General features: G+C 37.5%; 1 protein-coding gene across 17 annotated transcripts in view; it reads right to left on the reverse strand.

Moving 5' to 3' along the window:
* The window catches only part of ARFGEF1 (ARF guanine nucleotide exchange factor 1), a 170,271-nt gene that overhangs the window by 75,569 nt on the left and 80,122 nt on the right, over positions 1 to 14,580 (reverse strand). For 16 of the 17 annotated variants that reach the window (NR_182117.1, NM_001413186.1, NM_001413187.1 and 13 more), the window contains 5 exons: positions 10,736 to 10,847; positions 9,006 to 9,211; positions 8,653 to 8,737; positions 4,372 to 4,543; positions 2,220 to 2,371 (listed from right to left, as the gene is read on the reverse strand). Coding sequence is in view for 16 of the 17 variants with exons in the window: in NM_001413186.1 (NP_001400115.1) it covers positions 2,220 to 2,371; positions 4,372 to 4,543; positions 8,653 to 8,737; positions 9,006 to 9,211; positions 10,736 to 10,847 (727 nt within the window). In the remaining variant the exon portion in view is untranslated. The remainder of the gene's footprint in view (positions 1 to 2,219; positions 2,372 to 4,371; positions 4,544 to 8,652; positions 8,738 to 9,005; positions 9,212 to 10,735; positions 10,848 to 14,580) is intronic. The other variant, NM_001413190.1, reaches the window with a different exon arrangement.

Consider the following 14,580-nt stretch of genomic DNA (forward strand, 5'->3'; position numbering starts at 1 on the left):
CCAGGAACTATGGTTGATGTTGGGACAAGTGAAGAGATGTAGTTCCTTATCTCGTACATGTATATAAATAATGTATATATAGACAGTTCCCAACTTACAATGGTTCAACTTACCATTTTTTGACTTTACAATATATTCATACAACTATTGTTTTTCATTTTCAGTATAGTATTCAATAAATTACATGAGATATTCAGTACTGTAGCATAAAACAGGCTTTGTGTTAGATGATTTTGCCCACCTGTAGGCTAAGGTAAGTATCCTGGGCATGTTCAAGGCAGGCAAGGCTAAGCTATAATGTTCTGTAGGTTAGGTGTATTAAATACATTTTCCACTTAAACAACGGGTTTATTGAGACATAATCCCATCGTAAGTCGAGGAGCATACAAGTCTGCACACAGATAGGCAGATATACAGATAGACAGACGGATAGATAAATCTACAGATATACTGAAGGAAAGGCATAGAATATTATGAATTAGGGACCTAGTTTAGATTAGAGGGGACAGTGCAGAACTCTCAGAGAGGGTGATATTTATTTTTATTTTTATTTTTATTTTTCAGACAGAGTCTCACTCTGTCGCCCAGGCTAGAGTGCAGTGGCCTGATCTTGGCTCACTGCAACCTCTGCCTCCCAGGTTCAAGCAATTCTCCTGCCTCAGCATTCAAGTACCTGGGACTACAGGTGCATGCCACCAAGCCTGGCTAATTTTTGTACTTTTAGTAGAGATGGGGTTTCACCTTGTTGGTCAGCCTGGTCTTGAACTCCTGACCTGAAGCAATCCACCCACCTCGGCCTCCCGAAGTGCTGGGAATACAGGCGTAAGCCACCGTGCCTAGCTGAGAGGGTGATATTTAAACTGGAAACTACTCAGGCAAAGAAGGAAAGAACATTCTAGACAAAGGACATACCTCATATGAATGCCCTGAAGAGAAAATAATTTAAGATGTTCTAGAAACCAAAAGAATGCTGGTGTGAGTGCAGCATAGTAAGAAACAGAAGAGATCTAGCGATGGAATTGGAGAGGCAGGTGGAGCCAGGTCACAGAAAGTCTACAGACACTATGGGTGTGTCAGGTTTCATGGTATCATGCAAAGCCAATAAAAAGCTTCAAGTAAGAAGCTGGCATTTCATTTGGTATTTTAAAAAGATCACTCCGGTCTCTATAAACGGGTAAGAGGAGTGAAAAAGTAGACATGAAGATGCCTGTTAGGAGAATGCCGCAGTAATCTGAGGGAGAAATGAGGGTGTCTGCAGTAGCTTAATGGTAGCAGAAATGGCACTGAGGGAAAAGATTCTTAATTCTAGCTTGGAGGATGTTTAAATAAACTATAACAAATCCAGAGAACAGATCATAAAAGCTCACTCTCATCATCGTGATTCTTCATCAACGTTTAGAAATAGTGTATCACATGGACCTTGAAGAAGAGGTAGGAGTAATTACAAAATTTTGGAGCTAAAAGGAAGCACAAGAATCCTGTAGTCATCTTTTACTACCCACACATACGTGTAGTTAGAATCAGAGTGAGCATCGGATTATGATCTTTAGCCTCCACAGACCACCTTGCCATATTGTCTCATGAACAGGAATATACTTTACCCACTTCCTCTTTTCAAACTTAACTAGACACTACTCCACTTTGCTACAACCCTTGTAGTAATGCACTGCTTACTCACTCTGGAATTTGGAGAAAGGATAGAGAATGAAGAAGGAATGGGAAATCAAATTTTAAAGAATAAGTATCATTCTCACTAAATCAACCCACAAACACAAATAATATTGTCTTCTGTTCCTTACCCTACTTTCTGGGCCCCAGGCATATTCAGAAGCCTGATATAAGTTCCTGGGCCCAAAACACTTAAAGAAAACAAGAGCCTCATGATCATTTGAAATGTGAGTTAACTCCAAAGGCTTAAGCATAACTCATTTAGAGAAAATCAGGCCAAGGATTAATGATCATTCTCCAATACTTTTCTTTGCTTAATTCCTAAGATTACACAACTATTAATTACTTATAGTGAGTAACTCCTCTTGTTCTCTTTAAGTAATAGAAAATTTGTATCTACTATGTCCTAAATAACATGTTATATGAATTTCACCTCAATATGTCTACACTAATGTGTTATATCACTGTATCGCTTCCTTAACTTAAAAATATTATAAATGTAGTTATATATAAATGTACACTGCAATCAAACATTACTTGAAAATTCTAACCTTAAACATGGGCCTCACATGCTCCAAATGTGTTGCACTTGTAAAGGGTGCCTGAACATGGCTCACGGCCTCCATGAGTGCTTTAGCTGTCTTGGCCATCTGCTCCATTTCTAAGTTATACAGAAGTCTTCTTTGTTTTTCACTGGCTACATCTGAAACAATAAACACTATCAGCATTTTAAATATAAAACATTTAAGAATTCTATTTTGATATTTTACTATCAAATAATAAACACCACCAGTAATTAAAAGTAATCCTAAGAAGCAAGACACAAGAGATCCCATATTATATGATTACACTTATATGAAAAATCCAGAATAGGTAAAATCCATAGAAATAGAAAGTAGACTGGTATTTTCCAGGGGCTGGGGGGAGACAGAATAAGGAGTAATTGCTTGATGAGTTTGGAGTTTCATTTTGGGATAATGAAATCTTTTGGAATTAGAGGTGGTAGTTGCACAACGTTATGAATGTACTAAATGCCACTGAATTGTTCATTTTTAAATGGCTAATTTTATGTTCTATGAATTTCACCTCAAAAAAAAAAATTCCTAGACTGGGAGTCAGGAAGTGGAAACCTATGAAAAGGGAAACGAGTAGGTACCACTTTCAGAATACAATTATCAGGGAAACAACCCAAATATGGAATGGGAGAAGAGCAGAAGAGAGGTAAAATGCAATGGCATCTGGCTGGGCGTGGTGGCTCATGCCTGTAATCCCAGCACTTTGGGAAGCCAAGGCAGGCGGATCACCTGAGGTCAGGAGTTCAAGACCAGCCTGACCAACATGGAGAAACCCTGTCTCTACTAAAAATACAAAAAAATTAGTCAGGTGTGGTGGCGCACGCCTGTAATCCCAGCTACTCGGGAGGCTGAGGCAGGAGAATTGCTTGAACCCAGGAGACGGAGGTTGTGGTGAGCCAAGGTGGCGCCAAGCCAAGATCGCACCATTGCACTCCAGCCTGGGCAACAAAACTCCATCTCAAAAAAAAAAAAAAAAAAAAAAAAAAAGAGGCAATGGCATCTTTGTACCACATAGGCTTGAATGACTGCTCCTGAGTTAACAAGAAAACAACTGGCCATAACACTCCAGGGTAATTTTGGCGTTTTCGGCACACCACCATCTCCTTTCCATTTCCAGCTTCTCTTATTTCCTACCACCATATATAAAATAGGACAGAAAAAGAGGAATATGAGGATGATACAATATATAATATTCTTTTCTCCTGCCATTTGGATTTTACTACTGTACTCTGTTTAAACTTGAGATTTTAGTTCCAAGTGGAAGGGCTCAGAAATGCAGGAATCCTCTTTCTATATTACTGTTATATTCTTGAGCCACTACCCTCATCTCATTCCTGTAGTCAGATTTCAGCTCAAATTTAATTACCACTGTCCACAGGTATAGAGTGTCTAGAAGGGGGCTGGGTTCACAGTTGCCTCCTGGTGTTAGTTAGACCTAAGGACTCTACAGTGATGTAACTTGTGGTCTGTTTGAGGTAGAAATTTCTAACTCTATGAGCTCTCACCTGATCCTAAACCTCCCCACCTCCTCCAATCATCCCTACTTCCAGCTTCCATTTATGTGTAACAAAAGATGAACAAATGGAAATATATTGCTTGAAGATGATGAGGAAGAAGAAAAAATGACAAGGGTTGAAGCCTGACTATTGGGTCTAACTACTCTTTATGACCTCCAAATCCCTGCTGAGGTTAACTACTAAATGGATCAGCATATATTAAATGCACACTGACACATGCATATAATGTATACCATTTTCCATTAATCACTGGTCAGTGTTATCTTTCTTCAGAATGTGGGGAAAAAATACAATCATATCACCAAACTCTATTATAATATTTCTCATCAAAACATGGTTCTAAACAATATTTCTAAGGTTACTTTATTCTAAATCAAGTGAAAAACTCTCTTTTAAATTAAAAAGTTTTTTCTTTTTTAGAGACAAGAACCTTGCTATATTGCATATGCTGGTCTCGAACTCCTGGGTTCAAGTGATCCTTCTGCTTCAGCCTCCCTGAGTAGCTGGGGACTATAAATGCAAACCACCACACCTGACCATAAGTGAAAAACTCTTAGGAACCCATATTTTTCCCCTTGAACAATCAGAATTCAATTAATTTAGATACTTACTCTGTTTACTTGATTTTGTAGGGATTGTTAGTTCTTTTGTTTCTTTCATTGATATCTTTTTCCCAGCTATTTCATTATAGATGGCTGATAGATACTCTTCAGGAAGGTCTTTACTGTCATTGATACCTCTATTCATCTTAATGTATTGTTCCTTTGTCATTTTATTTTTCACCTAGATATGAAAAACCATTATAATTCCTAAAAATTAACATAAAGGTTACACTTGTATTTTAAGGATATGAATATTTACATAAGAGATTTTGTAAATACTTTTGAGGATAGAAACTGGAAAGTATTCAACAAAATATAGATAAAAATGAAAAAAATCACAGAAAATGAAGGCAATACAGAAAAGATCCATTCTGGCATAAACTAATTCATGCTCTGAGGTGGACATGAGTAATGTGCAACCAGAAAGGAGGGAAGTTGAACAATGAAAATATTTGTTTTTGCTCAAGGTTTAAGAGCTTTTGCAGTCTCTCAAAAGGGCCATGACAATTATTGGAAATAAAGATATCAAAAACATTCAAATCTTAGTTTAGAAGAACATAAATGTGCTGTTAATGAATTTAAAGCTGACTTTATATACAGTGGGTATAAGAGTAACAATACTTGAGATTTATTTAAAACCAGTTAACAATCTCTCTGACTGAGTCACTGTGGCAACTGAATTATGTCAGGTGATCTGTACAAAGTATCCTTGGAATGTTTTGTCTTGTATAAGAGTACCCTAAACAGAAATGCCTTTTGCACCTTGATAAAGCTGTGGAATACAAGTTTGGAGTCTGTAAGACGGTAACCCCATTACCAAACTTGGGAACTAGCATAGCCAAAATGTTTACACTTTACCTCCAGAAACCTAGATAGATAAAACCCAGAAGTCTTATGTGATGTCTCTGAAGAGACATTTATTTAATTAAATATATTTCTACGTCTTATATGATGTCTCTGAAGAGGTATTTATTTAATTAAATATATTTCTACCACCTTCCATAAAGAACTTAAGGTAACTCTTAAGATATAATTCCTGTAAATTTACATGAAAGTACACAGAAAAACAATCAAGCAAGTCATCAGAAGCTTGCAAAAACTATAGAGAGTGTGGTGTTATGTGCCCGTAGTCCCAACTATTCAGGAGGCTGGGGAAGGAGGATGGCACAAGACCAGGAATTCAAGTCCAGCCTAGGCAACATAGCAAAATCCTGTCTCAAACAAAAACAAAAGTACAGAGGAACCAAAACTTTCAGAAAATGTAACTGGGATATATACACTTATTTACTTCAGATTATTCTGCAAACAGATTTTTCTAACATGTCAGAAAGGGAGGCAGGAGTGCTTTCCCTACAAATATGTAAAAATATTACCATGAAAGTTTTCAAGTGTTTAACGTATCATTTAATGGAATAAAACCCTACTATCTTATAACTTTAAAAACTCAAGTCATGGCACTAAAAAAAAAAAATGAAAGAAAGAAGCTTTTTTACCTAAAGTTCAGGTGAATGCTTAAAAAACACACCAGGAATAACAAAATAAAAGACTACACACTGCTGCCAATAAGAAGTAAAGGAAGATTAAAATCACCTGGAAATTTTAAGCATGGCAAAATGTTTTAGCATTATGCCAATCAGAGGCAGAGAAAAGTCTTGACAGAAAATCTGAAGTAGCAGTTAATTGCCTGTGGATCTGGGTTAGGGATCCCATACGTGGGCGTACAGAATACTTTGCTTTGAGGTCCCCAAAATAAGTGCACTGCTTCACACAGAACACTTCTGCCATAGTGGGATTCTGAAGCTGTATAAAACAAAATCCTACTTTTCTTCTCCTGCCATCTTTTATGGAACATTCTACTCTTGACTTTTATCCTCGTGTGCTTGTATTAAGCTGTGCCTTATTTAGTGTTTAAATCACTTAAAGCCAGTTGTTACTACTGATGATTATTGTATACACAAAAATTGTGTTCTAAATATGCCTAAAATTTTTTTTTAATCACTGACTCACCACACACTACATAAAAAGTAGCCTAACTATAAATATTCTGGGTGAAAAGGGAACATAAACAGCTTGTTAAAATCCACCTATTTTTTAAGTTTGAAAAGAACTAAGAATGAGAATTAGTTTTAAGAAATTCCTTTAAAGTTATTTGTATTTTAAAATGTTGTCATTTGTTATAGTTATCTAAATCAACTGAGGCCAAGATCACGGGTACAATTTTCTAACAGATTACTTAGCTTCATAGAAACTCACAAGCTGTTCTACAGCTGCAGGCTGCATAGCAGCACATGACACCAGGCAGCAAGCTGATAAGGAACAGTTGGACAACAAGCAGTTGCCACCGCTAGACTAGGACTCCAAGCACATGTTCTGCAAACAGGCACTGTTATGCTAAAGACGGGACACTGTTGTGAAGGTAATACTCCCTAACTGGTATGTCCTTAGAAACTTTTCACAGTCTAGGTACTTATGAAAAGACATAAAAGGAATTTTTAATATTTCTTCAAAATAACATGAGTATGTACATATGTATAGGAAGACATTGCACAGGTGCATATAATATTGCTTATTCATTTAGAGAACCAAATGTCTTTTAAAGCATAGCTTTTTAAAACCAAACATATGTAAACCCAGGTCAAAATACTCTAGTGTAGATTGAAAAATCAAATGAAAAAATTAGACTGAAAATTCTGGTGTAAAAATATCTAAACAAATCCCAACTGTGAACTACCTTATAAAGCCGTAGAATAGAAGTCATCATGCTCGATAATAAAAGCCCTGAAGGTGAGCTGCTTTGACTATACTGCCAAAAATATGCCAGAGGCAAATCTTGAATTATTAAATTCTTTAATAAATTTTTAAAGTCCTATATAAAATCAAGTAAATTTGTGGTAAATGCATAGTTGCTCAATATTGTGTTTAAAACAGGAGTAACTTCACATATAATCATATGTATATACATATGTATATAATCGTATATATTCTTACTTTAGGTTTGGTATATACTTTCCTTATCTACTCTGCTTTAAACATCTCAAAACAGACACAAAAAATCCCTATACTGCAAAGGTTAATCTCAAAATTCAAATGAATTTTAATTTTTCCAATACATCTCAGATTAGAAAGTAGGTAATTTATTTTACAACCTAAGCATAACAAATATCATCAGATACCTACCCCTAGAAGTACTAAGAAATCCTTGCAAATAATTTATAAATGTAATTTTACCCAAGGATGTCAATGTGTGTTTTTAGAAACTAAGCAAAAAATACTAAAACTTTAAATCAAACTTTTTAAGTAGGTATCAGAAATCAAGTGACAGTTCTTCAATATTTAAGAAGTAAATATGAATTTCATGAGGCAAAAGAACATTTCTAGATATCAGGTATTTTTAAATTATTGTTAACTTTTTAGGTATGCTGGTATGGTTATGTTTAACTAGAGTACTTCTCTTTTAGAGAAACACACTGAGATAAATGCAGATGAAATGGTATGATATCTGAGATCTGCTTCAAAATTATCTAGGGGAGGAAAGAGATATAGATAGAACAAGACCGGCCATAAGTTGATAACTGTGGAAGGCAGGTAATGGGTACATTAGAGTTCATTACGCTAATCCCTCTACTGGTGAAGTTTGAAACATTTTTTTTTTTTGAGACGGGGTCTGCCCTCTGTCACCCAGGATGGAGTGCAGTGACACGATCTCAGCTCACTGTATGACTTGTGCCTCCCAGGCTCAAGCGATCGTCCCACCTTAGCCCTCCAAGTAGTTGGGACCACAGGCACATGCCACCATGCCCAGCTAATTTATGCATATTTTGTAGAGACAGGGTTTCATCATGTTGCCCAGGCTGGTCTTAACTCCTGGACTCATGTGATCCGCCTGTCTCGGCCACTCAAAAGTGCTGGGATTACAGGCGTTAGGTACCACGCCTGGCCTGAAACATTATATTTTTTAGAAGGATGGTTTATACACAGCGTTTTTCCATGTTGTGACAAACTGACATAAGACCTATAAATGTCTTGTTAGATTAAAATTTATCTTAAGCTTTATACAGTTGTCAATCATGAACGACAAATACAGAAACATTTTATAGATACCTAAAAGTCTAATTTTAATTACTACCAGAAGTTGCCTTTGTAAAATGTTCACCATCCCAAATTAAATACCCAAATATGGTGACTGGTTTAACTGAATAAAACTAAAATTTCAACTATTACTTACTGAATTCAGAATAATGTACTTATTTTGTACCGCTTATTGTAAAACTGACTTAAAAGAAAACATACCTGTGGACTGTGAAGGTCTGTGGTCAACATGATAATTGAATAAGCCAAAACATAAGCTGTATCCGCACTAGCAAAGAGAGTTTGTCTGGAAAAATAAATGTATCATGTTATAAACTTCTACTGTTTTATATAGTTTCATTTAAATAAGTCACCTCAAATCCCATAGCACTTTTATTTCTCTAAGTATCTCACATTACAATTTTTTATGGATTTGTTTTACGACTTCCAGATTGTAGACAATCTAAATTCTCTAAACAGGGGATTAGGTCCTATTATCTGTAAATCCCTGGATGCTACCTAGCACAGTGGTTTGGATATAACAGACAATCAATGAGCATTTGAACCTTATTTACCCTTGGTTGCATTCTAGGTATCTTGCAGCAAATTTTTCCATTAATCGATCGATTTTCTGAGCTTCCCCTGGAAGACGAAATCCTTCTAGAAACATACGAAGGGCTGAAACGAAGTCTTTTCCTGAAAAGTCATGTTGGTCCACATATGCATACATGACTTCTTTGTTAAATTTATCATTATCTCCCAGGAACTCACCCACTTGAGTCTAAAGTAAAAACAGAGATAGAAATTGATATTTTCTTTCTTTTTTTTTTTTTTGAGACAGAGTCTTGCTCTGTTGCCCAGGCTGGGGTGCAGTGGCACGATCTCGGCTCACTGCAACCTCTGCCCCCAGGTTCAAGCGATTCTCCTGCCTCGGCCTCCCGAGTAGCTGGGATTAAAGGCGCCTGCTACTGCGCCCAGCTAATTTTTTTTGTATTTTCAATAGAGACAGGGTTTCACCATCTTGGCCAGGCTGGTCTCCTGACCTCAGGTAATCTACCCGCCTCAGCCTCCCAAAGTGCTGGGATTACAGGCATGAGCCACTGTGCCCGGCCAGAAATTGAGATTTTCATGAGATGTTTACATTCACCACACAGCCACTTAAAAAGCAGAAAATTTTGTTAAGATCCGCAGACTTTTGATTATAGAGTTAACAATTTCAAACACAAAGCTAAAAGTTAAACACACTAAATGCCTTCATAAATATATCAGGATATTCTTTTCAGTTTAGAAAATTTAAAAAGCAGATTTTACACACACACACACACACACACACACACACACACACCAGTCATCACTCAGTATCAGTGGGGGATTGGTTCCAGGACCCTGCATGGACACCAAAATCCATGGATGCTCAAGTTCCTTATAAAAAATGGCACAGTATTTGCATATAACCTACACACGTCCTCCCATATACTCTACTCCCATATCTAGATTACTTATAATAGGTAATACAATGTAAATAGGTTTTCTGTATTGCTTAGGAAATAACTACAAGAAAAAAAGTTCGTACATGTTCAGTACAGATGCAATTACCCATTATTTCCCCTGAATATTTTCAATTTGTGGTTGGTTGAATCCACAGATGTAGAATCCATGGATACAGAACTCATGGCTACGGAGGACCAATTAGAGATGATTATATTATAACCAAGACATCTTTCTGTTTGTTTTTGAGACAGACTCTCACTCTGTAGCCCACGCTGGAGTGCAGTGGTGCAATCTTGGCTCACTGCAACCTCCACCTCCTGGGTTCAAGTGTTTCTCCTGCCTCAGCCTCCTGAGTAGCTGGGATTACAGGAGCCCACCACCACGCCCAGCTAATTTTTTGTATTTTTATTAGAGACGAGGTTTTGCCACATTGGCCAGGCTGGTCTCGAACTCCTGACCTCAGGTGATCTACCCGCTTCAGCCTCCCAAAGCGCTGGAATTACACATGTGAGCCACTGTGCCCGGCCAACCAAGGTTATTCTTTACGTTTTACTTACCTCTATATTTAGGAAAGCATTTTAAAGGAGTCACAATATGTATTATTAACTTAAAAAAGAATTTTACAGAAACGGGGCCAGGCGTGGTGGCTCACGCCTGTAATCCCAGCACTTTGGGAGGCTGAGGCAGGAGGATTGCCTGAGCCCAGGAGTTCAAAACTAGCCTGGGCAATATAGCGAGACCCTGTCTCTAATAAAAAGAAAAAAAAATCCCAAGAATTTTACAGAAAAGGTTAGAATGAAAATGGTATTCTTACAGAGTCTAATCTTTCCTCTTGATGTAAGAATTGGGCAATATCTTCAGGTGTGGTGCCAAGCATCCCTTGTTCTTGGAGGTACTGTATTCCTCTCTTTGGTTTCTTATTAAATCTAGATGATGTTAAATAAGAACATTAAAAATAGAAAACCATTCGTAGTCCCTGAAAAGATCTTAAACCACAGTAAATTTTCTAATAGCACCCAGAAAATAGTAGCTTATTTAATACACATCAGTACATGAATGTACAAAATAATTACATTGTGCCAAGTTTTCTTTATTCTTTTCTTTTTAGAAATAAGTCTCATATGGAAGGCCATCTTTATTACTATCATTTCACTGACTTGTTTACTTACTTTTTTACAGTATGAAGTATTTTTTTATCCATATCCACAGTGGGAAATTAGACTATGAGAGACTATTAGAGAGAATGCCATGTAGTAGACGAACTTTGAGTAATACTAAATATTTCATACAGGCATACTTCATTTTATTGCACTTCACAGATACGTGTTTTTTACAGGTTCATGGTTTGTGGCAACCCTGCATTGAGGGTCTATCAGTACCATTTTTCCAAAACCATATGCTCTCTTTGTATCTGTGTCACATTTTGGTAATTCTCACAATAGTTCACACTTTTTCACTATTATATCTGATACTGTGACCTGTGATCAGTGACCTTTGATGTTGCTATTGTAATTGTTTTGGGGTGACACAAACCACGTCCATATAAGATGGTAAACTTAATCAATACTTGTGTGTGTTCTGACTGCTCCACTGACTGGCTCATCTCTCTTCCTTTCCTTGGGCTTCCCTATTCTGAGACAAAAAAATACTGAAATTAGGCCAGTTAAGAACCCTACAATAAGTGTTCAAGTGGAAGGAAGACTCGCACATCTCTCACTTTAAATAAAAAACTAGAAATAATTGAGCTTAGTGAGGAAGGCATGTCAAAAGCCAAGACAGGCTGAAAGCTAGGTCTCTTGAGCCAAACCAAGTTGTGAATGCAAAGGAAAAGTTCTTGAAGGAAGTTAAAAGTGCTACTCCAGTGAATACACCAGTAGGAAAGCAAAACAGCCTAACTGCTGATATGGAGAAGGTTTTCACGTGTGAAAAGAAGATCAAACCAGTCACAACATTACCTTAAGGCAAAGCCTAATCCCAAAAAAGGCCCCAACTCTCTTCAAGTCTATGAGGCTAAGAAAGGTAATGAAGCTGCAGAAGAAAATCTGGAAGCTAGCAGAGGTTGGATCATGAGATTTAAGGAAAGAAGCAGTCTCCCAACATAAAAGTGCAAGGTCTGATGGCAAGTGCTGATGGAGAAGCTGCAGCAAGTTATCCAGAAGATGTAGCTACGATCATTTATGAAGGTGGTTATACTAAACAACAGATTTTCCATGTAGATAAAACAGTCTTTCTTCTACTGGAAGAAGATGCCATCTAGGACTTTCATAGCAAGGGAGGAGAAGTTAATGCCTGGCTTCAAAGCTTCAAAGGACAGACTGGCTCTCTTAGGGGCTAATGTAGCTGATGATATTAACTTGAAGCCAATGCTCATTTACCATTCCAAAGATCCCAGGGTCCTTAAGAATTACATGCTAAATCTACTCTGCCTGCACTCTAGAAATGGAACAACAAAGCCTGGATGACAGCACCAGCTGTTTACAACATAGATGACTGAATATTTGAAGCCCACTGTTGAGATCTACTGCTTCAAAGAGAAGATTCCTTTCAAAAGATTACTGCTCATTGACAATGCACCTGATCACCTTAGAGCTCTGATGGAGATGTGCGATGAGATTAGTGTTGTTTTCATGCCTGCTAACACAATATCCATTCTGCAGCCCTTGGATGAAAGAGTGATTTTGTTTTTGCAGAAATGCAGTCTCACTATGCTGTCCAGGTTGATCTCAAACTCCTGGGCTCAAATGATCCTCCCACCTTGGCTTCCCAAAGCTGGGATTACAGGCATGAGCCACCGTGCCCTTTCCTCAGAAGTAACTCTGAATTTCAAGTCTTTTTTTTTTTTTTTTTTTTTTAAAGAAATGGGGAATTGCTACATTGCCGACGCTGATCTTGAACTCCTGGTCTCAGGCCTCATGAGTAGCTGGGATTACAGGCATAAGCTACCATGCCAGGCTAACTTTCAAGTCGTAAAAGCTGCCATGTAGAGAGATACTACTTAAAAGCTGCCATGTAGAGATACTACTTAAAAGAGATACTACTTAAAAGCTGCCATGTAGAGAGCTGCCTTATAGTTGCCATGTAGAGAGATACTTCTGTTGAATCTGGGCAAAGTAAGTTGAAAACCTTCTGGAAAGGATTCACTGTTCTAGATGCCATTAAGAACATTTGTGACTCATGGGAGGGGTAAAAATACCAACATCAATAGGAGTTGGGAAGAAGCTGATTCTAACCCTTATGGACGATTTTCAGGAGTCCAAGACATCAGGGGAGGAAGTAACTGCAGATGTGGTAAAAGTAACAAGAGACTTAGAAGTAAAGTGTGAAGATGACACTGAATTGCTGTAACCTCATGATCAAACTTTAACATATGAGTAGCTGCTTCTTATAGACAAGTGAAAACAGTGGTTTCTTGAAATGCAATCTACTACTGGTTAAGATGCTGTGAACACTGGTGGAAAGAAAATAAGAGATTTAGAATATTCCATAAATTTAGTTTATAAAATTGCAGCAAAGTTTGAGACGACAGACTCCAATTTTGAAAGACATATTACTGTAGGTAAATACTATCAAACAGCATTACATGCTACAGAGAAATCTTTCGTGAATGGAAGAGACAATCAAGGCAAAAAAGTTTACTGCTGTCTTATTTTAAGAAATTACCACAGCTACTCCAGCTTTCAGCAATCACCACCCTGATCAGTCAGCAGCCATCAACACTCAGGTAAGACACTCTACAGCAAAAAGATTACAACTCATTGAAAGCTCAGATGGTTACTAGTATTTTTCAGCAATAAAGTATTTTTAAATTAATGTGTGTACATTGTTTTTTAGACATAAGGGGGTTATAGGTTAATAGACTATGGTACAGTATAAACATAACTTTAATGCACTGAGAAATCAAAAAAATGGTGTGACTCACTATATTGCAATATTTACTTCACTGCTGTGGTATGGAACTGAACCCACAATATCCCTAAGGTACTCCGAATATACATTCTACTTAATCTTCAAGTAATCTTGGCTCATTTGTCCAAATTAATTAGACCACACAAAACCTTTCTCAATACAGCTCCAGATTCTCTCTCACTCCCTTCTCCTTCCTCTGCTCCCATATATCATATCCCATTCCCTAAATCTATTTTTAGAGTCTATTTCCTCTGCATGTCTTTTACCTGCTCCATTCACAGGGGAGTCTCCCTCAGGCTTAAAGATCCAATTCAAATGTTACCTCTCTGTTTACAGATCATTTACTTCCTACTTTTGTTACTTTGGTGCTCCAACACCTGTCATTTGGGCTATTGCAAGAGTTCTTAAATGGTCTCCCTCTAGCTCATGTTGCCCATATTCTAATGCACCCTTCAGGCTGCCAGCAAAGTCCTATTACAAAACAGAAATCTGATGATGCTACTCCTCTGCTTAAAGTCCTTCACTAGCACGCTAGCGCCAAGAGGAACAAGACAACAAAAAGTCCTTTACATGGAGAATAAGGCCTTCTGTAATTTAGATCCAACCCAATGCTCTAATCTTACCTCCTGTTATTCCCCCTCCACTCTAGCCTGCCATGCTGAACAAGTGCTCAGATGTCCTCCCTTTCCTCTGCTGCTGCACATGCCATTCTCTTAGTCTGGGATGCTCTTCCTAAAGGTTCCCTTGTCAAGT

This window comes from Homo sapiens, chromosome 8, assembly GCF_000001405.40.
Source record: "Homo sapiens chromosome 8, GRCh38.p14 Primary Assembly".
NCBI lineage: Eukaryota > Metazoa > Chordata > Mammalia > Primates > Hominidae > Homo > Homo sapiens.